Source organism: Homo sapiens, chromosome 9 (assembly GCF_000001405.40).
Source record: "Homo sapiens chromosome 9, GRCh38.p14 Primary Assembly".
NCBI classification, from domain to species: Eukaryota; Metazoa; Chordata; class Mammalia; order Primates; family Hominidae; genus Homo; species Homo sapiens.
In genome coordinates, this window is record NC_000009.12 from 111,207,636 (window position 1) to 111,231,640 (window position 24,005).

The window sequence follows — 24,005 nt, forward strand, 5'->3', positions numbered from 1 at the left end:
AATACACATCCTATTACAGTGTACTCTGAGGAAGTATTTATTAAATGCCAATCTATCTACCAGTTTTATCAGAAATCATCCGGAAACTGTTAAAACAATAGAGTCCTGAGACTTTAGAGATTCTGGTTCAGTAGATTCTGAAGGCTTTTTAAAAAAAACAATGAGAAATATTTTAAAATCTTTAGCTGATTCTAATGAGCATCCAGGTTTGAGTCTCTACTGTAAGGAATAATTCACATCATTTCATTTGTACTGGAATTTTTATCTATATTAAATTGACTGAAATAAGAAAAATGTTGACTAGAACTTATTGATCTTTTGGATATGGTACTATTTTTGTAGTAACAGGTCCAGACTTACATTAATTGAAGTTAGGAGAGTGGAAATTAAATGTTGATTTTCTTTTCTTCTTTCCAACTTTTATTTTAGATTCAAGGGATACATGTGCAGGTTTGTTATGTGGGTCAATTGTGTGTTGCGGCATTTTGGTGTACAATTTTGTCACCCAGGTAATCAGCATAATACCCAATAGGTTATTTCAGTACTTCTAAGGGATTAAAATACACTTGGCATTTCATTTATCTCCAGGCATCTCTTACTGTATGTTGAGGGAAAAAAGCCTGGGACAGATGAAGCAAGATTTAAAAAAATAATATCTGGACGTGTCTTCACATAACAGGTGCTCAATAAATATTACAGGGATGGATGAATGATTAAATAAATGAATGAATAAATGAATAATACCCAAACTAGGTAGTCATTAACAGGAATAAAAAGCATTCCTCTTCCTACATGTTATGTATGTCAAACTCTCAACTGAAAAAATATATATTTGTCATAGGGAGGCACAGAATCCACAGCATTGGCTCCTATAACCTGGGGTCTCTCCAGAAAAAGATTCCTAGCATGTGTCCCAAGAGGAAGGAGCCACAGAAGGATCCCAGAACTTTCATTTTTCCAACTTCTTACTAACGCAGTATTTCCATAAATCTGGAAAGTCTTTAGGAGACCCACAGCTGCTCTGATTTCAAATAAAGCTGAGGAATAGTAGCCCACCTCTATGCAATCGTAGCTTTCAAAAAATTCTCAAAACTTGAGACTTTGAAATTTGGTGTTTCAGAGTTTAGTGGCCCCAGAGCAATGCAGATCATTCCCTAAAATCTCACGACCCACGAGGGGTCTGCAGGCTCAACAATAATGATAATGAAATAGCTATTGTGATGAATATTAAGCATTTTCTAACACATGCTAAGTGCTTTACATATATTATTAGCTTGCTTTATCTCGCAAGAACACCATACATTCTGATAATCCTTTTTTCTCATTGTTATTATTAGTTTACCAAAAAAGAAAGTGAGACTTTGGGAGAAGTTGAGGCTTTTTAGAGAAATTGAATCAATATTACAATATTACAGTGACCATACATAATCCTTTACTTAAATTTAACAATTTTTTTCATATTTTTTCACATGTGATTTACTGTCTTCCTCTCCCTCTCCCTATCTTTATAGGAGTCTGCTCTGTGTTTGAGTAGAAAAGGGTAGAGAAGCGGGAGCAAGGGACACACACACACATACATACCACACAACACACACATACACACACACTCCATGCATACCACACAACACACACACACACCACACACACACACAATTTTACTGACCCATTTGAAGGCAATTTGCAGACTTCATACCATGTCACCCGTAACATTTCAACACATATCTTTTTAAAATAAGGAAATTCTCCTACAAACCGTGATACCACTGTCATAACTAACAAAATTAACAAAACTTCCATAATATCATCAAATACACAGTTCATATACAAACTTCCATAATGTTTGTGGGGTGTTTTTAACAGCAGTTTAACAGATTTCACAGATAAATAGATATTTAAACAGAAGATTAGTAACTGTTTGGGTCAGTGAATAATTGTAACTAGAACTGAATGTGTTTACATATGTTCTGAGACAGAAAAAAAAATAGAATTCTTGAAGGAAACCATTCCACAGGATGTACCCACTCTGAACATCAGAATTTTCACTCCAATCCTTAAGCAGGGTCCGCCAGGGCCAGGTACTCATCTATAATAATTCCTGGGAAGTTATTCACCCCTAGAATTGTATGAAGCTAGCAGTGACAGAAAGGGTAAACAACGTGTGGCTCACTCTGTCTTCTGTGCTCCAAAATTTCAAGCATTTAGAGAGAACTTTAAAAAGGAGTTGACCAATGAGAATGGACACATGGTAGGGAACAACACACACTGGGGGCTGTCACAGTGGGTGGGGTGGGCCCACAGGGAGGAAGAGCATCAGGAAGAATAGCTAATGAATGCTGGGCTTAATACCCAAGTGATGGATTGATAGGTGCAGCAAACCACCATGGCACACATTTACCTATGTAACAAACCTGCACATCCTGCACATGTACCCTGGAACTTAAAAGTTGAAGGAAAAAAGAGGTTGGGGCATAAATTAAATATTTGGAAATAACAGGCAGAAGGTTGTGGGGCTTTCCCCATGCTGCCCCCACCCAATGCCAGAATGATGTTTCCCTGGATTTTAGACCAAAAGAATGAAGGGGTTCTGCATGGAGCTAACCTCTAAAGTGGGAGCCAGAAGCAGCAGAGAGAACCATGAGGTGCCCAACATAGCAATTAAGCAGTAGTCTTCTGGATGGGGGAGGCTACGTGAACAGAAACAAGGGCTTTCAGCACTGGCCTGGATGGTCCGAAGACCAAGGAACAGGTGGGCTTCTCACCAATACTCTAGCACAATGCAAGCCCTCTCAAACTGCAGCACAACCCCATGGAATTGAACAACTCAAAGAAACTAAAAATAAAATTTCCACCTGGCAGACATGACAGGTCTATACATAGACGTTTATTTAAGTAATGAAAAATAAAGTATTGCTCTTCTTCATTCCTTTTTCCCTTCCTTTCCAATACCATAATCTCTGCCTGGATGGCCACATTGCTTCCTCCTCTTCTATGTCTCTCTCTAATCTTTTTTCCTCTCTTATCAGAACACTTGTGAAAGCATTTGGAACCCACCTGAATAACCCAGGATAATATATTCATCTGAAGATCCTTAGTCATATATGCAAAGACCCTTTTTCCTTATAAGGCAATGTTTACAGCTTCCAGACATTGAGATCTGACATTTTAGGGGCCATTAGTCTGCCTATCACACCCACTAAAATATTTGGAAATTGTGTAGCATCAGGACAGCAAATTTCTCTTAAGTGTTGCAGATTTTAAAAGATATTTGTTCTACATGTCCAAGTTTTTATAACTTTGTGTCCAAATAAATAAGGATATTTTGAATAGTTCAGTTGTAGTCTGAGACTATTTACTATACATAGTCTACTTGTACCTAGTTATATATACAAACTATAAAGTAGTTTGGGTTATTGGCTCAAGAACACATAGCTGCTTTCAACCTGGGGATATTGCTGTTCACTTGCTATCTTGGAAGGCAAGATTTTTCTACTGGTTCTGTCCCACAATTTGAAGGTATGTCCCCCACCTCCCCAATCTCTTCCATCTCTTTTTAAAATTGGCTTTACTGAGGTACAATTTACAATAAAATTCATATAGTTTAAATGTAAAGTTCAATTAATTTTGACAAACGTATTCAGCCATGTCATCACTAACCCAATCAAGATATAGAAAATTTCCATTACCCCAGAATGTTCCTGTGTGCTCCTTCCCAGCTTAATTTGGGAATATTACAAATAAAACTGACACGAATATTTATGTTAAAGTTTTTTTGGACTATCTTTTTCTCTTGGATATATACCTAGACATGGAATTGCCAGTTCATAGAGTACATGTATTTTTAATCCATCCTCTCTTTGGCTCCTTGGTCTAATCCATTATTCTAGGACATTGTGATTTCACTTTCTACATTTTACTCGGTAATAAATTGATAATAATCTTTAACCAGTTTGACTATCTCTTCCTTTCTTCCTTGGTATGGCAAGAAACAGTTAATCTTTTTAACCAGTTTGACTAACGGTTCCCATCTTCCTTTCTATGTCCCACTCTAGACTTTGTTCCATTTGTTCTATGCTAGGATATTTACTTCTCACTTCATGGAACATACTGCTAATTCTTAGCAGTTATTTCTGCAATTATTTGACGTTAATCGAAGACTTTGCTTCCCTTCAAAATTCACTATGCAATGCAGGAGAGGGGTGTGTGATACTGCAGCTCCCAGTGTCTCCATCCTAAACTGACTGTCAATAGCCTTTTTTCATAGGCAACTCTGTTCTTTCTAACCCAATGATCCTTTGTGGCAATTGAAAAAATGAATCAAGATGCTACTTTGGATTCCTCATTATGTGCCTCCAAGATAGCAGGATACTTCTTCTGTAACCCTATTCTCGATTTACTGGAAGTATGCTACTGATATTGCCATTTTATTGCTTCCTATCTAGTTCTATGCAGGGTGCAATTAACTATATCAATTTGAGCTGTTTCTGTTTAATTCCATCGATAATGATCTGATGATATTCACATATTATGAAGGATTACTTGCCAAAAGAAAATACATGTGAAAAAAAACCTAAACGTGTTTGAACCAAGCCTGACTCATGTTCCAAATTTGTATGTTAAGCATGAACCTTCTCCATACACCACTGAGATTGTCAACATTATCAGAACATCCTAGGATTAAGATATACAGCAATGGCCTAATTAAAAGGCAATCAGCATAAGACGGCTCTATGATAGAGGTAAGTCTGCCAGGCTTTTCATAAACAGACCTAATTGCTTTACCTGATTATATTTCCTTCTTCAGAATTAAATTTTTAAGAAAAAATATGAAAATCTTTAATAATACCCTGAAGATTTAATTCTCCAGCAGCCTTTATATTTAAGGAACAACAATTTTATATTTATAATATATTGTTTCACAAAGTGGTTTGCAATGATGCCTAAACTGTTTAGATTGCTTTGGGCACATTAAGTTGTCATTAAAAAAAAAAAAAGATTAGCTGAACATTCTCACAGTAACTCAGTGACTCCCTGATTCTGTGTGTTGTGGGCTTACAATAGTTTCTCTTTTTATTTATTCTTTTAATTTCAATAGCTTTTGGTTTGGGCTACAAGTGGTTTTTGGCTACATGGATGAATTCTGTAGTGGTGAATTCTGAGATTTCACTGCACTTATCACCTAAGCAACGTACACTGCACCCAATATGTAGCCTTTTATCCCTCATCTTCCTCCCACCCTCCTCCTCAAGTCCTCAAAGTCCATTATATCACTCTGCATATCTGCATCCTCAGAGCTTAGCTGTCACTCATAAATGAGAACATATAGTATTTGGTTTTCCATTCCCGAATTACTTCACTTAGAATAATGGCCTCCAGCATCATCCGACTTGCTGCAAAAGACATTATTTCATTCCTTTTCATGTCTAAGTAGTATTCCTTTTTTATACATACCACATTTTCTTTATCCACTCATTGGTCAGTGGGCAGTTAGGTTGACTCCGTTATCTTTACAATTGTGAATTGCGCTGCTATAAACGTGTGTGTGCCTGTGTCTTTTTCATATAATGACTTCTTTTTCTTTGGATAGATACCCTGTAGTGGGATTGTTGGAGTGAATGGTAGATCTACTTTTAAGGAATCGCCACACTGTTTCCCTTAGAGGTTGTACTAATTTACATTCCCATTAGCAGTGTAAAAGTGTTTCCTTTTCGCCACATCCACGCCCACATCTATCGTTTTTTGACTTTTTAACTATGGCCATTCTTTCAGGAGTAAGGTGATATCTCATTGTGGTTTTGATTTGCACTTCCCTGATGATTAGTGATGTTGAGCATTTTTTCATGTTTGTTAGTCATTTTTCTATATCTTCTCTTGAAAAATGTCTATTCATATCCTTCACCCAATTTTTGATGGGATTTCTTTCTGATTGGTTTGAGTTCCTTGTAAATTCTGGATACTAACCCTTTGTCAGATACATAGTTTGCAATTGTTTTCTCCCATTCTGTGGGTTGTCTGTTTACTCTGCCAATTATTTCTTTTGCTGTGCAGATGATTTTTAGTTTAATTAGGTCCCATTTGTTTTTATTTTTGTTGCATTTGCTTTTGGGGTCTTGGTCATGAATTCTTTGCATAAGCTAATGTCCAGAATACTTTTTCTAATGTTATTTCATAGAATTTTTATGGTTTCAGGGCTAAGATTTAAATCTTTGATCCATCTTGAATTGGTTTTTGTATATTGTGAGAGATGGCAATCCCGTTTTATTCTTCTACATGTGGCTTGCCAGTTTTCCCAGCACCATTTATTGAATAGGGTGTCCTTTCCCCAGTTTATGTATGTTTTGTTGAAGATCAGTTGGCTCTTTAAGTATTTGACTTTATTTCTGTGTTCTTTCTTCTCTTCCATTGGTCTAAGTGCCTGTTTTTATACCAGTACCATGCTGTTTTGGTAACTATAGCCTTGTAGTATGATTTGAAGTCATCATGTGATACCTCCAGATTCGTTCTTTTTGCTTAGGATTACTTTGGTTATTCGGGCTCTTTTTTTGTTCCATATGAATTTTAGGATTGTTTTCTGTGTGAAAAATCATGGTATTTTGATGGGAATTGCATTGAATCTGTAGATTGCTTTGGCAGTATGGTCATTTTTACAATATTGGTTCTTCCCATCCATAAGCATAAGATGTATTTCCATTTGTTTGTGTCATCTATGATTTCTTTCAGCAGTGTTTTGTAGTTTTCCTTATAGGGGTCTTTTACCTCCTTGGTTAGGGTTTTGTTTTCATTTTGTTTTTCTGCTATTGTAAAGGGAATTGAATTCTTGATTTGATTCTTGGCTCAGTTGTTGTTGATACATAGCAGTGCTGATTTGTGTACATTAATTTTGTTATCTGAGACTTTACTAAATTCATTTATCAAATTTAAGAGTCTTTTGGGTGAGTCTTTAGGGTTTTCTAAGTATAAGATCATATCATTGGTGAACAGCACTAGTTTGACCTCCTTTTTTCCGATTTGGATGCCCTTTATTTCTTTCTCTTGCCTGATTGCTCTGCATAGGAATTCCAGCACTATGTTGAATAGAAGTGGTGAAAGTGGGCATCCTTGTCTTGTTCCAGTTCTCAGGGGAAATGCTTTCAAGTTGTCACCATTCAGTATGATATTGGCTGTGGGTTTGTCACATATGGCTTTTATTTTTTTGAAGTAAGTCCCTTCTATGCCTAGTTTATTGAGGGTTTTTATCAGGAAGGGATGCTGGATATTATCAAATGCTTTTTCTGCATCCATTGAGATGATCAATTGTTTTTGTTTTTAATTCTGTTTATATGATGTATCACATTTATTAACTTGTATATGTTAAGCCACTCTTGCATCCCTGGGATGAAACCCACTTGATCAGGATGTATTATCTTTTTGATGTGCTGTTGGATTCAGTTGGCCAGCATTTTGTTGAGGATTTTCATGCCTATGTTCATTAGAGATATTGGTCTGTAGTTTTCTTTTTGTGTTATATCCTTTCCTGGTTTTGGTATTAGGGTGATACTGGCTTCATAGAATGAATTAGGGAGGATTCCCTCTTTCTCAATCTTTTGGAACAGTTTTAGTAGGATTGGTACCAATTATTCCTTGAATGTTTGGTAGAATTCAGCTGTGAATCCATCTGGTCCTGGGCTTTTTTTGTTGTTACAGATAAATTTTTAAAAAATTAAACTGCTAAGTTATTTCACTTAGGATAGTCATTTTTTATAAATCAGCCATTCAGTCTCACTGCTTGTTATTGATCTGTTCAGGGTTTTCTTGTTTTTGTTTTTTGAGATAGGACCTTGCTCTGTCACCTAAGCTGGAGTGCAATGGCGCAAACTCGGCTCACTGCAACCTCCACATCCCGGGCTCAAATGATCCTCCTGCCTCAGCCTCCCAAGTAGCTGGGACTACAGACATGTGCCACCATGCCTGGCTAATTTATATATATATACACACACACACACACACACACACACACACACACATATATTTTAGAGGCGGGGTTTCACCATGTTGCCCAGGCTGGTCTTAAACTCCTAGTCTCAAGGGATCCACTCACCTTGGCCTCCCAAAGTGCTGGGATTACAGGCATGAACCTCCATACCCAGCCTTCTATTTCTTCCTGATTTAATCTAAGAGGCTTGTATATTTCCAGGAATTTATCCATTTCCTCTAGGCTTTTTAGTTTGTGCACATAAAGGTGTTCATAGTAGTCTTGAATAATCTTTCGTACCTCTGTGGTATCAGTTGTAATGCCTCCAGTTTCATTTCTAATTAAGCTTATTTAGATCTTCTCTCTTCTTTGGTTAATCTTGCTAATGATCTATCAATTTTGTTTATCTTTTCAAAGAACCAGCTTTTTGTTTAATTTTTTATTTCAGTTTCATTTAGCTCTTCTCTGATCCTGGTTATTTCTTTTCTTCTGCTAGGTTTGAATTCAATTGTTCTTGTTTCTCTAATTCCTTGAGGTGTTATGTTAGGTTGTCAATTTGTGCTCTTCAGATTTTTTGATGTAGGCATTTAATGCTATGAACTTTCCTCTTAGCACTGCTTTTGATGTATTCCAGAGGTTTTAATAACTTGTATCACTATTATTCATTTCAAAGAATTTTTTAATTTCCATCTTGATTTCATTAACTTCAAAATCATTCAGGAGCAAATTATTTAATTTCTATGTATTTGCATAGTTTTGAGAGCTCCTTTTGGAATTGATTTCTAATTTTATTCCACTGTGGTCTGAGAAGATACCTGATATGATTTTGATTTTCTTAAATTTATTGAGATTACAATGGCTTCTTTTGCACTGCCACTGTTAATTTGCTTCCAATGAACTCTGCACAACATGATGAATATTCACATATAGGATGCAGAAGGCCATCTTGCCCTCTAAACCCCATTATGTGAACACCTACTATTACTTAAATATTTGTTTAACATCACAATGAAAGCACGGACAACAAAAATGTGGCATAACAGACCACCAGCCTAAGATAGGACCATACACTGGATCTGGATAAATAAGCACAACCAAAACATATGTCTGTGACCTTACAAGATAAACTGCTGGAGCCTCAATTCTGCGTCTTCCCATCTCCTCTTCCCCAGCTATTTTGACTTCCAGCAAAATTCCTGGATGACTCCAGAAGTCTCTCTGCTGTGACCAAAGACCATCTTATAGGCCATCTCATCCATCGCTGCTGTTTCTCCTTGCCCCTGTTAGTTACCCCCTCTGCTCTGCAGTCCTGGTGTCAGTAGAAGCAGAAAGCAGTGAAGCATTTCCAACCATCCCAGAAATGGGGTGCATTATTCTTTCTCAGAAATTCAGAGATCTCAGAAGCATCCACATGTAACTGCTCATTAACAGCTTTTTCTTATTTCTATTTCCTATAACACAGCAAATCAGAAACGTCTAAAGAAAAGGGTAAATTTTATGTACTATTTCAAAACTAAAAAATAACCAATTATGTAATAAGTGAAAAAAAAAATTGAAGCAGAAATGGAAAAATGATTTGAGCTCACAGGATAAATCTTGATATATGTTGCAGTGGTTGACTTGCTAATTCTTCTTCTTGCTCAATGTCACTGGATGAAGAATTGTAACACGGCAAACTTTCAAAGATGAAATTCAAATACCTGGTAATTTGAGGTTTCGTTGGGGTTTTTTACTGTAATTAATTTTAGGAAAAATTCATCTTTGGCATGCAATGATCTGGGAATAATTTCAGTGAAAAGTAAGGATGCCTTTTATTGGTATTGGGTTTTAAAGATTACAACAAGCTATAATTTACATTATCTTATTTGATTCTCAAAATGACTGAAGTGGAAAGGAAAGTTATACTATGTTCTCCATTTTACAGGTGAGGAAACTGAGGCTCAAAAATCTGACCAGGTGTGGTGGCACTCACCTATAATACCAGCACTTTGGGAGGCCGAGGCATGAAGATTGCTTGAGCCTTGGAGTTCAAGACCAGCCTGGGCAATACAGCAAGACCCCATGACTACAATTTTTTTTTTAATTAGCTAGGTATAGTGGCACCTTCCTGTGGTCCCAGCTACTCACAAGGCTGAGGTGGGAAGATTGCTTGAGACCAGGAGGTTGAAGCCACTGTGAGCCATGAACACGCCATTGCACTCCAGGCTGGGCGACAGACTGAGAACTTGTCCAAAAATAAAAATTAAAAAAATCATAAGGCTCCTAACCAAGATCTTACAAAAAGTAAGTAATGATATTTGGTCTTGATCTCAGTGCAGTGTATTTTCCATTATACCCTAATGACTTTTTATACCCCCAGCTTTCTGGAAAAGTTAAGGAGCTCCTATTTTAAACATTGAAAATGAAACTGGCTTTTCCAGATACCTAAAGGTTATTTGTGTGGCAGTTAGGTTTTTTGCTATTCACATACCAATATCTGGCTACACAACTGCAGTATCGTTGGTGTGGCTTCACTGGCATGCTCACAGAATAGTCCTGCCCTCTTGCACTGTGGACACATCTTCCCTATCTTACCACCTCATTGATAATGCCCAACCTTATAAACATAAGCAGGAAACATTCCCTTCTTGTTTGAGTTGATCATTAGGCAAAGGACCAACTTGAAGAGGCCATTGCAGAAGTGAAATTTCCATACTATACAGTTGTGAGTTGTTTAAATATTCAGGGGGAAAATGGTCAGGGGTGGAAACTGGTCAAGGAAGAGAAAGACACACAACTGTGAATAACTGAACAGATCTGCATTCATAAATCCAAATTTGTCAATGGGAAATTATCGAAATGGTCTTTTGTGTGTGTGTGTGTGTGTGTGTGTGTGTGTGTGTGTGATGGAGTCTCGCTCTGTCGCCCAGGCTGGAGTGCAGTGGCGCAATCTCTGCTCACTGCAAGCTCCGCCTCTCAGGTTCATGCCATTCTCCTGCCTCAGCCACCCAAGTAGCTGGGACTACAGGTGCCCGCCACCATGCCCAGCTAATTTTTTTTTTTTTGTATTTTTAGTAGAGACGGGGTTTCACCATGTTAGCCAGGATGGTCTTGATCTCCTGACCTCGTGATCCACCAGCCTCAGCCTCCCAAAGTGCTGGGATTACAGGTGTGAGCCACTGAGCCCGGCCTGAAATGGTCTTAAGATGTTTGGTCAGGTTAGTGTGTTCACAAACTTTATTCCGTCTCATTAAAATGACATACTTGTGAAAATTTTGGAAAATATAGAAAAATAGCAATCACATGCACAAATAACCAGTTTCACGGTAACTACTTAAGAGTTTGTTGTGTTCCCTTCAGTATTTTTCTTATGCAACATACTTCTTTTATGTAGTTGACAGTTCTGCAGTGCTTCTTATTGACTGATCCTGGGAAAGTTACTTAACCTCTGAGAACCCAAGAGCATCTGCTTATACTTCTAGTGTCAATACACATTCATTGGCAGCTTTTTATTATTTCTATTTCCTAGGATATGGCAAATCAGAAATTTCAACAGCCTAAAGGAAAAATTTTCACACTCTTTCAAAATTAAATAATTCACAAATAAAGAAAAAAAGATACAGAAATAAAAAACAAAGCATCACTTTCCTTATCTAAAAACTACGGGAAATAATAGGACCAACCATATGGGATGGTTGTAAGGATTCATGAGAAAATGCCTATCAATTGCTTAACCCAGGGTCTGTCAGAGAATAAGCACTCAAATAGCTATTATGTTATTTTATATATATATATATATATATATACATATATATATATGTGTATATATATATATACATATATATATGTGTGTGTATATATATATACACATATATATATGTGTGTATATATATATATGATTTTATACTAATTGGTCAGTTAACAAGTTATTCATTTTATTTTGTATCACACTTTATTCAAAAGAGGATTTCAAAGTGAAATGAATGTAGAGAGTAAAGAGGATTTTTTTAATCAGTAAGAAAATGAAGGTGTAGTATGAGAAAACTAGGGTGGGTGGGAAAAGAAGATAAACCAAAGTATGAAAAAAATAAGATGACATTAAGAAAAGTTAACTAAACAAAATGTAAGCCATAAAGTGCAATTCACATTGATAAGAATGGGCCACAGTTTTGGCTCTAATATGCTTTTCAGCTAATGCAAAGACAATGATATAACTCTAAATGCCTATGAAATGAAAATAAAGCAGTTGCTCAATAAATCACTCATCCATTCCTGGCAATGGAACCTAAGAGATGTGTTTATTTTTGTTAAGACTATGCTGAGATACAATGGCAGTGTATACAACAACTTCACTATAATTAACAATGGGGTTATAAGAAAGAATTTTCTCCTATTTAAAACTTCATAATCTTTATTATAGAAAAAGAGGAAATAGAATTTAAAAAGAAAAATGGGAGGAAAAATCTCTAGGTTATCAGTTAGATAGCAATGATATCCAGAAATAACCACTGTTAATAACATGGTATATTTCCTTCCAAACTATTTTCTATGTATATATGCACATGTAAATAATTATGTTTACTTACAAATATTGGATCATTTATACAGACAGCTTTGTACATTGCCTTTTGCTCTTAATGTATTCAGAACTCTTTATGTTAATATTTAAATATCTATACCATGATTTTGATGGCTACATAATATTTCATAATATAGGTATGTCTTAATGTATTCAACCAAACTTTTTAAATGTCAGATTTAGATTGTTTCCAAATTTCTTCTATTCCAAATTTCTTCTATTACAAATAAATATTGTGAATATTTCCTTAAGAAAGCCAGGCACGGTGGCATGTACCTGTAGTCCCAGCTACTGGGCATCCTGAGACAAGAGAATAATTTGACTCCAGGGGTTCAAGGCTAGCCTGGGCAACAGGCCAACATAGTGAGAGGAAGGAAGGGAGGAAGAGAGGAAGGAAAGAAGGAAGGCCGACCCAAATTGAAGAACATTCTAGAAAATAACTGCCTTTACTTTCGAAAAAAGTCAAGAGTAAAAACATCAGGAAAAAAATGAAAAATTGCTCCAGATTAAAGAAGACTAAAGAGACTGACTGGTAAATAGTTTTATAAAACATTATTGGAGTAATTGACAAAATTGGAATATGGACTGTGGAGCAGATTTATGAATGAGTACAATGTTATATTTCTTGGTTTTGTTGTTTGGTTGGTTTTTTGTTTTGTTTTGGTTTTGAGACAGTCTCACTCTGTCACTGAGGCTGGAGTGCAGTGGTGCAATCTCAGCTCACTGCAACCTCCACCTCCCAGGTTCAAGTGATTCTCATGCCTTGGCCTCCTGAGTAGCTGGGACTAGAGGCATGTGCCACCACGCAGGGCTAATTTTGGTATTTTTAGTAGAGACGGGGTTTCACCATGTTGGCCAGGCTGCTCTGGAACTCCTGATCTCAAGTGATCTGCCCACCTTGGCCTCCTAAAGTGTTGGGATTACAGGTGTGAGCCACCGCACCTGGCCTATATTTCTTCATTTTGATAATTGTTCCGTAAATGAATGTCCTTACTCTTGGGAAATATATACTGAAGTATTTCAAGTTAAAGAAGTGCAATATCTGCAACTTACTCTCAAGTGGTTCAAAAAAAATTTGTGTACACACATGTACACACACCACAGAGAGAATCAGAGAGAATGATAAAGCAAGTAGGGCAAAATTTAAAATATTGGTGAATCTGAGTAAAGTGGGTAAGGGAGTTCTTTGTACTACTCTTGCAACTATTTTTAAGTTTGAAATGATATCAAAATTTAAAAAATTACTCCCAAGCAACCACTAAGAAAGCTATGCAAAGTGGTATAGACAAACAAATCTACTATAAATAAATTAAGATGACATTCCAAATAATCTTCAAGTAACCCACAGGAAGACATAAAAAGAAAGAGAGGGTGGAGAGAGAAAGAGAGGGAAACAGAGGAATGAGAAGTAGAGGAAGCAAACCAACAAAAAAATAAATAAAAATACAGACTTAAGCCCTATCAATAATTACCTTAAATGTAAATAATCTAAATATACCAATTAAAAGACCATGATTGGCACATTGGATTAAAAAACATGAACCATTAATATGCTGCCTATAAGAAACTCACTTCAAATATATCACCATAGGTAAGTTGAAAGTAAAAGAATGGTAAAAGTTACATCATGCAAACATTAATCCAAAAGATACCCCTCCAAAAAAGTCGATTGGTGTTTACAGCAAAAACAACAAAGTACTTTTACAACATTTGCAGAGGTAAAACATATGACAGCAACACCACAAAGGAAGAGAAAAAGTCACTTGTGTGCCAAAGAGCCTCCAGCGGATAAAAGTCAGTCCTTAGAAACTCCTTCAAATCCCCGTGCAATCTGTCCTTGTTACCACTCTCACTTCCTTCCCAACTATTCTCCCTTTTGTTGACTGTGTGCTAATCACGTTAACCTATAGGCTGTTCCTAGAACATCCTGGAAAAGCTCCCACTAAAGCACCTGAACACAGCTGGCTCCCTCTGCTCAGAAGGCTCTTACACCCAGAGGACCAAAAGCTAACTCACTCCTTAATGAGCATCATCCCAACAAATCTCTCTACACACACTCTCATCCTGCCCCCCCTCTCATTGCCTTACTCGATTTTTTGTAGCACCTATCACCTTTTAATATTCTATAAGTTCCTTCCTTATTGAGTTTATTACTTATAGCTGGACTATAAATTCCAAGAGAGCATGACTTTTGTTTCTTTTCTTCATAAATGTATCCCAAGTCCATAGAATAGTGGCTGGTATATAACAGTTATTTAAATGTTAATTTGTCAAAGGAATGGAAGAATATTTGTTAGAAGGAGGAGAAAGAGAAAGATGTTCATGATACAGTAGAAATATTATTCTGAGAACCCAGAGCACCAAAAGAGAAGGCCTGACTGCGATCAGCTGTTCAGATTCATTTTAGCCTTTTCTATAGAGGAATATATGGATGAAAAGCATACCTTAAGAATCTCAATATAACAGACATTAAGACAGTGAAAGGTGAGAAATCTCAAGTGTTTCTCCACCCCAAAGATAAGTCCATTTTTCAAAAAGGAAACTGAGTAAGGGAAATGGCACAAACAATTCTGTATCAATCACATTCCAACTGTATATCATATGTTTAGAGTCACCTTGACAGAAGAATATCATGTTTGCACAAAGCACTTAGACGTGTGTTTGTCATTTTTATTCCTTTTTTAAAAAACTCATTGCACACAAAATTCTAAAGCAAAGGGATTTGCAGATCATCCATTAGAGATAAGAAATACCCAGCTGTTGTTTGTTCATTTTCAACTAGTGGACATCTCTAGGCATAGATGTCACCCAGACTAGTAATGTAAATAGGTCATTTAAACAAGGAATTCAAGTAGAAAATTGAAATCATTGAACTACCATTAATGCACACATGAGCCTCAATCAGAAACAAAGAGGAAATAGGCACCTACCATCAAAGCTGACAGTACAGAACACATTAAGCTAGCATGTCCTTCAAGCCTGCTGGCATCCTCCCAAATGAAAATGTGGGCAACCTTTAAGAACTAGCTCACATAAATGTCTTCTTTTGAGAAATATCTGTTCATATCCTTCGCCCACTTTTTGATGGGGTTGTTTTTTTCTTGTAAATTTGTTTGAGTTCATTGTAGATTCTGGATATTAGCCCTTTGTCAGATGAGTAGGTTGCAAAAATTTTCTCCCATTCTGTAGGTTGCCTGTTCACTCTGATGGTGGTTTCTTTTGCTGTGCAGAATCTCTTTAGTTTAATTAGATCCCATTTGTCAATTTCGGCTTTTGTTGCCATTGCTTTTGGTGTTTTAGACATGAAGTCCTTGCCCATGCCTATGTCCTGAATGGTATTGCCTAGGTTTTCTTCTAGGGTTTTTATGGTTTTAGGTCTACCATGTAAGTCTTTAATCCATCTTGAATTAATTTTTGTATAAGGTGTAAGGAAGGGATCCAGTTTCAGCTTTCTACATATGGCTAGCCAGTTTTCCCAGCACCATTTATTAAACAGGGAATTGTTTCCCCATTGCTTGTTTTGTCAGGTTTGTCAAAGATCAGATAGTTGTAGATATTTGGCATTATTTCCGAGGGCTCTGTTCTGTTATGTAGCCAAAAAACACATGAAAAAATGCTCATCATCACTGGCCATCAGAGAAATGCAAATCAAAACCACAATGAGATATCATCTCACACCAGTTAGAATGGCAATCATTAAAAAGTCAGGAAACAACAGGTGCTGGAGAGGATGTGGAGAAATAGGAACACTTTTACACTGTTGGTGGGACTGTAAACTAGTTCAACCATTGTGGAAGTCGGTGTGGCGATTCCTCAGGGATCTAGAACTAGAAATACCATTTGACCCAGCCATCCCATTACTGGATATACAGCCAAAGGATTGTAAATCATGCTGCTATAAAGACACATGCACAAGTATGTTTATTGCGGCACTATTCACAATAGCAAAGACTTGGAACCAACCCAAATGTCCAACAATGATAGACTGGATTAAGAAATTGTGGCACATGTACACCATGGAATACTATGCAGCCATAAAAAATGATGAGTCCATGTCCTTTGTAGGGACATGGATGAAGCTGGAAACCATCATTCTCAGCAAACTATCGCAAGGACAAAAAACCAAACACCGCGTGTTCTCACTCATAGGTGGAAATTGAACAATGAGAACACATGGACACAGAAAGGAGAACATCACACACCAGGGAATGTTGTGGGGTGGGGAGATGGGGGAGGGATAGAATTGGGATATATACCTAATGCTAAATGACGAGTTGATGGGTGCAGCACACCAACATGGTACATGTATACATATGTAACAAACCTGCACATTGTGCACATGTACCCTAAAACTTAAAGTATAATAATAATAAAAAAGAAAGAACTAGCTCACAATGCTACCTACTTCATGAAGACACAATTCCCACAAATGAATGAAATATTAGCCTCTATAATGCCCCTAGCACTAATATCAAGTTATGGCACTTTTACTTCCCTGGTATCATAGCTATGAGTACTCACCATTGTTGACATCATGAGGCCAGGAATCCTGTGCTTTTAATCTTTTTATCTCCTTTGCAACTCACAAATATGTCTAACAAATCCTAATTGAATCAAATCAAATGTTTCCAAAATAATTTCTCACTCCAGTAGACTAGGGAAGGTCTTTTTATATAGTAAGTATTTGCTGAATTGGTTTGAATGGAATCTCAAGCAGATTCATATTTCTGGAAACTTTTGTTCTATTAGTTCTGAGTTCAGGTGAGCCACTGAGTACGGTCCGTAACTATTGCTTGCCATTCTTTTATTTAAACTAACCAAACATTCACTCTTTTGCCATATTGACTTCTGGTATAAAATTGCATATGACCTGAATGATTGCCTGAATCACTAAAACGTTTGGTTCATTGCTTTGACCATGGCTAAAACAGTCCCTGGCACCTAGTAGGTATTTAGTAATAATTGTTCAATGAAATTGTTCAAACAACCAGGCAAAAACAGCTTTCTGACAATAGACTATGGAAGCTGCATACTTACGATTCCAGGGGTAGATCATTTCCAAAGATGACCTCAAACAATTCCTACAATCCCTGTAGGCACATGTCTCTGCACATCAAAAGACAGAGTCTGTTTCCTTTTGCCTTGCATCTGAGCTGGTCTTGTAACTTGCTTTGACCAATGGAATGCATGGAAGTGATATTCTGGGACTTTTGCACCCAGATCTTAAAAGACTTGTAGCTTCTGCTTCCCCATTTTTGAGATTCATTGAATGATAAGAAACTATGGGAAAGGAGAAGCCCAGCCGATAGGCCCAAAGCCATCCCAGCCATTCCAGCAAAGATTGCCAACGGACAAGCAAAACAATCTGAGATGTTCCAACCCCAGATGAGTTCTTAGCTAAATACAACTATGTAACTGCAGCCAACACATAGAATAAAGTTAGCCATCCCATCAATTTCTCTCTGCTCAGTTGCAGGATCATGAGTAAATAACTGGTTTTGTTGTTATAAACCACTAAATTTTGGGGTGGTTTGTTATGCATGATAGATAACTGAAACAGTCCTTATAGTTTCTATTCTATCCTTCCTGTATATATGTATTAAGAACATTGTGAAATATACCCAAAGGATTATAAGTCACACTGCTATAAAGACACATGCACACGTATGTTTATTGAGGCACTGTTCACAATAGCAAAGACTTGGAACCAACCCAAATGTCCAACAATGATAGACTGGATTAAGAAAATGTGGCACATATACACCATGGAATACTATGCAGCCATAAAAAAGGATGAGTTCATGTCCTTTGTAGGGACATGGATGAAGCTGGAAACCATCATTCTCAGCAAACTACCGCAAGGACAAAAAACCAAACACCGCATGTTCTCACTCATAGGTGGGAATTGAACAATGAGAACACTTGGACACAGGAAGGAGAACATCACACACCGGGGCCTGTTGTGGGGTGGGGGCAGGGGGGAGGGATAGCATTAGGAGATATACCTAATGTAAATGACGAGTTAATGGGTGCAGCACACCAACATGGCACATGTATGCATATGTAACAAACCTACACGTTGTGCACATGTACCCTAGAACTTAAAGTATAATAAAAAAAAATTGTGAAGTGATTATTACTTAATGTGTGTTTCTGGGTGCTGATATTTTTGATACGCTTTTTTGGGTTTTGTTTTTAGCTTTTTTATTTAGCTGTTTGCTTAAAAAGTACTTTATGGGCCGGGAGCGGTGGCTTACGCCTGTAATCCCAGCACTTTGGGAGGCCGAGGCGGGCAGATCACAAGGTCAGGAGATCGAGACCATCCTACCTAACATGGTGAAACCCCATCTCTACTAAAAATACAAAGAATTAGCCAGTCGCGGTGGTGGGCGCCTGTAGTCCCAGCTACTCAGGAGGCTGAGTCAAGAGAATGGCCTGAACCCGGGAGGCAGAGTTTGCAGTGAGCCGAGATGGCACCACTGCACTCCAGCCTGGGCGATAGAGCGAGACTCTGTCTCAAAAAAAAAAAAAAAAAAAAAAGTACTTTATGGTGCTTCTTTTCTATAACCTTTTAAAAATAGTTTATCAACATAAAAAGAATGCTTATAAAATATGTATAAAGACTAAAGCAAATGCCTATGAAAATAAAATTTTAATACCTGCATACTCACCATCCAGTTTAGTAGAACATTACATTATATTTGAAGTTATCTGTGTAGTCCTCTCATGACCCAGCACCTTTCCTAAATTTCTGCTTTATCCTTCTCTTTTCTTTGGAAATTTCCCCAAATATTATGTAACCAAATATAAAATTACATGGCTTATGATTATGAATAAATAGAAATATGTTTTCTAGAACCTGATTTATTAAAAATTGTGTGCCTGAATTTTATTCATGTTTTTGTGCAAAGTTAGAGTGCATTCCATTTTTACTGCTATATTGTATTTCATTTTATTAACATACCACAGTTAACCATGTTACTGTTGTTGAGCACTTCAGTTTCTAGATTTTGCTTATTACAAAAACTGCTACTATAAATATTCTTATACACGGCTTCCACTGCTAGAATATCTAGTATATATTCAGAGGTAGATGAATATATTCAACTTGACTGGATAATGCCAAATTGTTTTATAATATTGTGATATAAACTCATGCTACCATCAGCGATGTATATAGCACCCATTGTTCTATATCCTCATCAACACTTGATATTGTCAGACATTTAAATTATTTTCACTGTGGAGACTATGAAAGGGTATCTTATAGTGTTTTAATTTTTTATTTATCAAATAACTAAAGAAGTTGAAGATTTCATGTGTTTATTGGCTAATTCTCTTCTGCGGGATGCCATTCAAGACTTTTGTTTTTTATTGGGATATTTTTCTTATTATTCTGTAGACTTTTATTCTATGTTCTGGTTACAATTATTTTGACAGTTTTATGTGTTGCAAATAATTTCCTCCAGGTTTGTCTTTTCACTTTCTTTACAGTGTCCCTTGGTAAACGTAAGTTCTTAATTGTAGTATAGCTACAATTTATTAATTATTTATCTTACAATTGGTATGTGTGTCTCCTTTAAGAAACTTATTCCAAATTCATAAAGATAATTTCCTTTAAAGGTGTATAGTTCTACCTTTCATAAATTTTTACACATGTGGAATCTGTTGGGAGAAGATATGATAGAAATAGGAATATAATTTGATCTTTTTACAATATGAGTAACCAGTTTTTGTAGCTTGATTTATTGTAGTCTATCTTCAATACAAACTCTGTTAAAAGTCAAATTTATATATATATATCTGGTTGTGGTTTTGAAGTTTTCTGTTGTTTCATTTGTCTGTGTGTCTCTGCCTTTGCAGATATCAGACTACTATACTATAGCTTTAAAATAATTCTTGCTACCTAGTAAGGAAATCTACCTCCCTTGTTCTTCAGGGATGAGTAGGCTATTAATTTTTGCTTTTCCATGTAAATTTTAGGCCCATATTAGCAAGTTCTGTAAAAATAAATGAAGTTGGTATTTTGACTTAAATTAAATCAAATCTACAGGTCAATTTATGGAGCACTGCAATTTTTATGATTTGCAGACTTCTCATCCATGGACATGGTATAGACTTTAATGTTACTTTAATATTATAATTTTGTCCTTAAAAAGTCTCACAAATGTTTGTCACATTTATTCCTAGGTAATTTAGAATTGCCTTAACTGTAGGTGGCAGGAATATAGCAATATAATTGATTTGTGTATACTGATTTTTATGTCAAGCAAACTTACTAAATTTCTTTATTAATTCTATCTATAAATTACTTTGAAATTTCAATGATGACATTATTAGCTAATAATAATGGTTTTGTTTATTCTCTTCAAATCCCTTATGCCTTTTTTTTTCCCTTTTTCTGCCAAATTGATCTGGCAAGGATTCTTATGTCAATGTTAAACAGAAGACATTCTTGGAATCTTCTTCCTCGTAAAGATGTTTTCTATGTTTAACCACTAGAGATAATACCTGCCCTATGTTCTTTGAAGTTAACTTTCTTTAGATTAAGCTAATTTTTTATTAGTTTGCACATCATGAATGAATGTTCAATTTTATAAAAATTATTTTTATCTACACTTTTGAAATTATCTTTCCCTTAATTTGTCAATATAATTAACTATGGTAAATGAAAGTTCTAATATTAGAATCATTAAAGTAACCTCACATTTCTGGGATGAGTCCAAGTTGGTCATGATAAATTAGTTATTTTGTACAATATTCAGTTTGATTAAAGAATTTTGTACCTATAATTGTGTGAGATCATCTGTAATTTTTCATTCTTTTAGTATCCTTGCAAAAGTGTTGGTACTCATATCTATTAGCTTTTTATTCACTACATGTTACTAGAAAATGAAATTTAAACAGCGCTTTTAAAACAGATAACACCATCTATATGATTAACTCAAAAGATGTTTAAAACCTATACAGAGAAAATTATACTTTTTAAAGAGCCATTAATAAAAATCTCTAAAAAATTGAGAGACATATCATGTTATGAATTTGAAAACTCAAAATTGTAAAGGTATAAATTACCCCAAGTAGATTAGACAGACTCATTGCAATCCCAGTCAAAATCCAGCAGGTTTCCTTTTGAGGAATTTGGTCTTCTGAATTTATAGAAATGCAGAGACCTCAGAATACCCAAAATATTCTTGATAAAATTGGAAGGACTTGCTTCACCAGCTATCAAGACATTATAAACATATAATAATTCAGATAGTGTGGTATTTGCTCAGGGATAGACAAGTAGACCAATGCAACACAATACAGAAAGCAGGACAGACTTATACATAATAGATAACTTAAATGACAGAATAACACTGTTGATCATAAGGGAAAGGACAGACTGCTCAAAATATGGTGCTGGGACCATTTTTCCCATATGGAGAGAAATGAAATTGGTTCTTTCCTATGTACACAAAAATTAGTTCCATGTAAATTGAAAACCTAAGTAAGAAAGGCAAAACTATGATGTTTTTAAAACATAGGAAAATATCTTTACTGATCCAGGGTAGGTGAAGATCTCTTAAACATAAAAAAGAATAAACCCTCAAGGAAAAATACAACCATGTTAAAATTAAGAACTTTTCCCATACTTCAGCAATATTTGCAATAATATTACCAAGCAAGTACTAAATATATAAAGAATGCCTACAGTATCTCATGCCTGTAATCCCAGCACTTTGGGAAGCTGAGACTAGAGGACTGCTTGAGGCCAGGAGTTTGAGATCAGCCTGGGCAACATGGTGAGACCCTGTCTCTACAAGAAGTAAAAATATTAGCCAGGCATGGTGGCATGTGCCTGTAGTCCCAGTTCCTCAGGAGACAGAGGTGGGAGGATCACTTGAGCCCAGGAGGTTGAAGCTGCAGTGAGCTATGATTACACCACTGCATGACAGCCTGAGCAACAGAGTGAGACCCTGTCTCAAACAAAAAAAGAACATCTATATATCAACAAGAATAACAGACAACCTATAGAAAAAGTCAAAAGTTTCAAATAAGTGCTTCACAAAGGATGAAATTCAAATAGATAATAAACATATGAGAAAATTTTATACCTCATAGGTAATGAGAAAAAGATAAATTAAAAATACCAACAGTTATCATTTCAGAACCAACTCATTGGCACACATTGAACTCTGACACTAGCATGCATTGTAGAAAATGGAACATTAGGAAATCTCATACACCACTGGGTAGAATTTGCAGTTGTAATTTGCCATTACTTTAATGGCAAAAAACGCAATTACGTTTGCACCAACCTAATAGTATAAGCTACATTGGAAATGTGATTAGCATTACCTATCAATCTGAAAATAGGTATAGCCCAGGTGGGAGAACTGGGGAGATGTTGGTCAAAGGACACAAAATTTCAGTTAGACAGGTGGAATAGGTTCAAGAGCTCTATTGTACACCATTGTGACTACAATTAATAATAATGTTACATATTTGAAAATTGTTAAGGGTAGATTTTAAGTGTTCTCACCATAAAAAAATGATAAATGTGAGATGATGCAAATGTTAAATAGGTTGATGTAGCTATTCCACATATATACATATATCAAAACATGTTGTAAATCATAAGCAGGTACAATTTTTACCGTCAATTTAAATAGGCATAACTTATAGCAAGTCGGCCTCTAGAGCCTCATTTACACATACAATAGGAAATATGCTACCATTGCCTCAAATTGGAATCAACTCAAATATCTGTCATTCATAAAGTAGACAAATTATGCCATATTTTTACAATAGAATATCATATCACAATGAACATGAGCAACAGTAGATACCCACACATCATAGGTGAGTCACAAGCATCATGTTGGGTGAAAAAAGCCAGACACAAAATACTACATATGGTATGAATCCTTCCATATAAACTTCAAAAACAGGCAAAAGTTGAATACTGTTTAGAAATACATAAGCAGAAAAGCATAAAGAAAAGCAAAAAGTAATTATCTCAACAGTCAGGACATAAGATTCTTAAAGGGAGAAGATAAAAGTTACCCGCATGGAAGGGCATCATAGGGAAGTGTTCTATGTTGAAATGCGTGTGGTTTCACTACTGCTGTATGCTTTATGCACTTTCCTACAGTTATCTAAAATATGAAAATATTAATTGATTTTTGTTTTAAAGCAAATATTAAATACTTTGAAAGACAACATAATAGAGAGGTTAAAATGAGGCTCTGAAATCTAACAAACCTGGATTCCAATCGCAAGTCCATTACTCAATCTTGTGACCTTGTGATGCTTAATTGCTCTATAAGCCAGTGGCTCTAACCTTCACTGTACTTTGTAATCACCTGGGGAGCTTTAAAAACTATAAAAACTGGCCAGGTATGGTGGCTCATGCCTAAAATCCCAGCACTTTGGGAGGCCGAGGCGGGCAGATCACCTGAGGTCTGGAGTTCGAGACCAGCCTGACTAACATGGATAAACCCCGTCTCTACT

General features: G+C 36.1%; 2 annotated features.

Annotated features, from left to right (window-relative positions):
• Positions 12,338-12,507: an enhancer, noted in NCBI's record as "experimental_105661 CRE fragment used in MPRA reporter constructs". NCBI's record gives its function as "activates a minimal promoter by MPRAs in K562 erythroleukemia cells, with activity observed for the introgressed 9:113982338 or rs2773535 variant allele {active_cell/tissue: K562}" and the evidence as "EXISTENCE:reporter gene assay evidence [ECO:0000049][PMID:34662402]".
• Position 12,423: a transcriptional cis regulatory region, noted in NCBI's record as "Neanderthal adaptively introgressed variant 9:113982338 (GRCh37/hg19 assembly coordinates) or rs2773535 in the experimental_105661 CRE". NCBI's record gives its function as "modulates activity of the experimental_105661 enhancer by MPRAs in K562 erythroleukemia cells {active_cell/tissue: K562}" and the evidence as "EXISTENCE:reporter gene assay evidence [ECO:0000049][PMID:34662402]".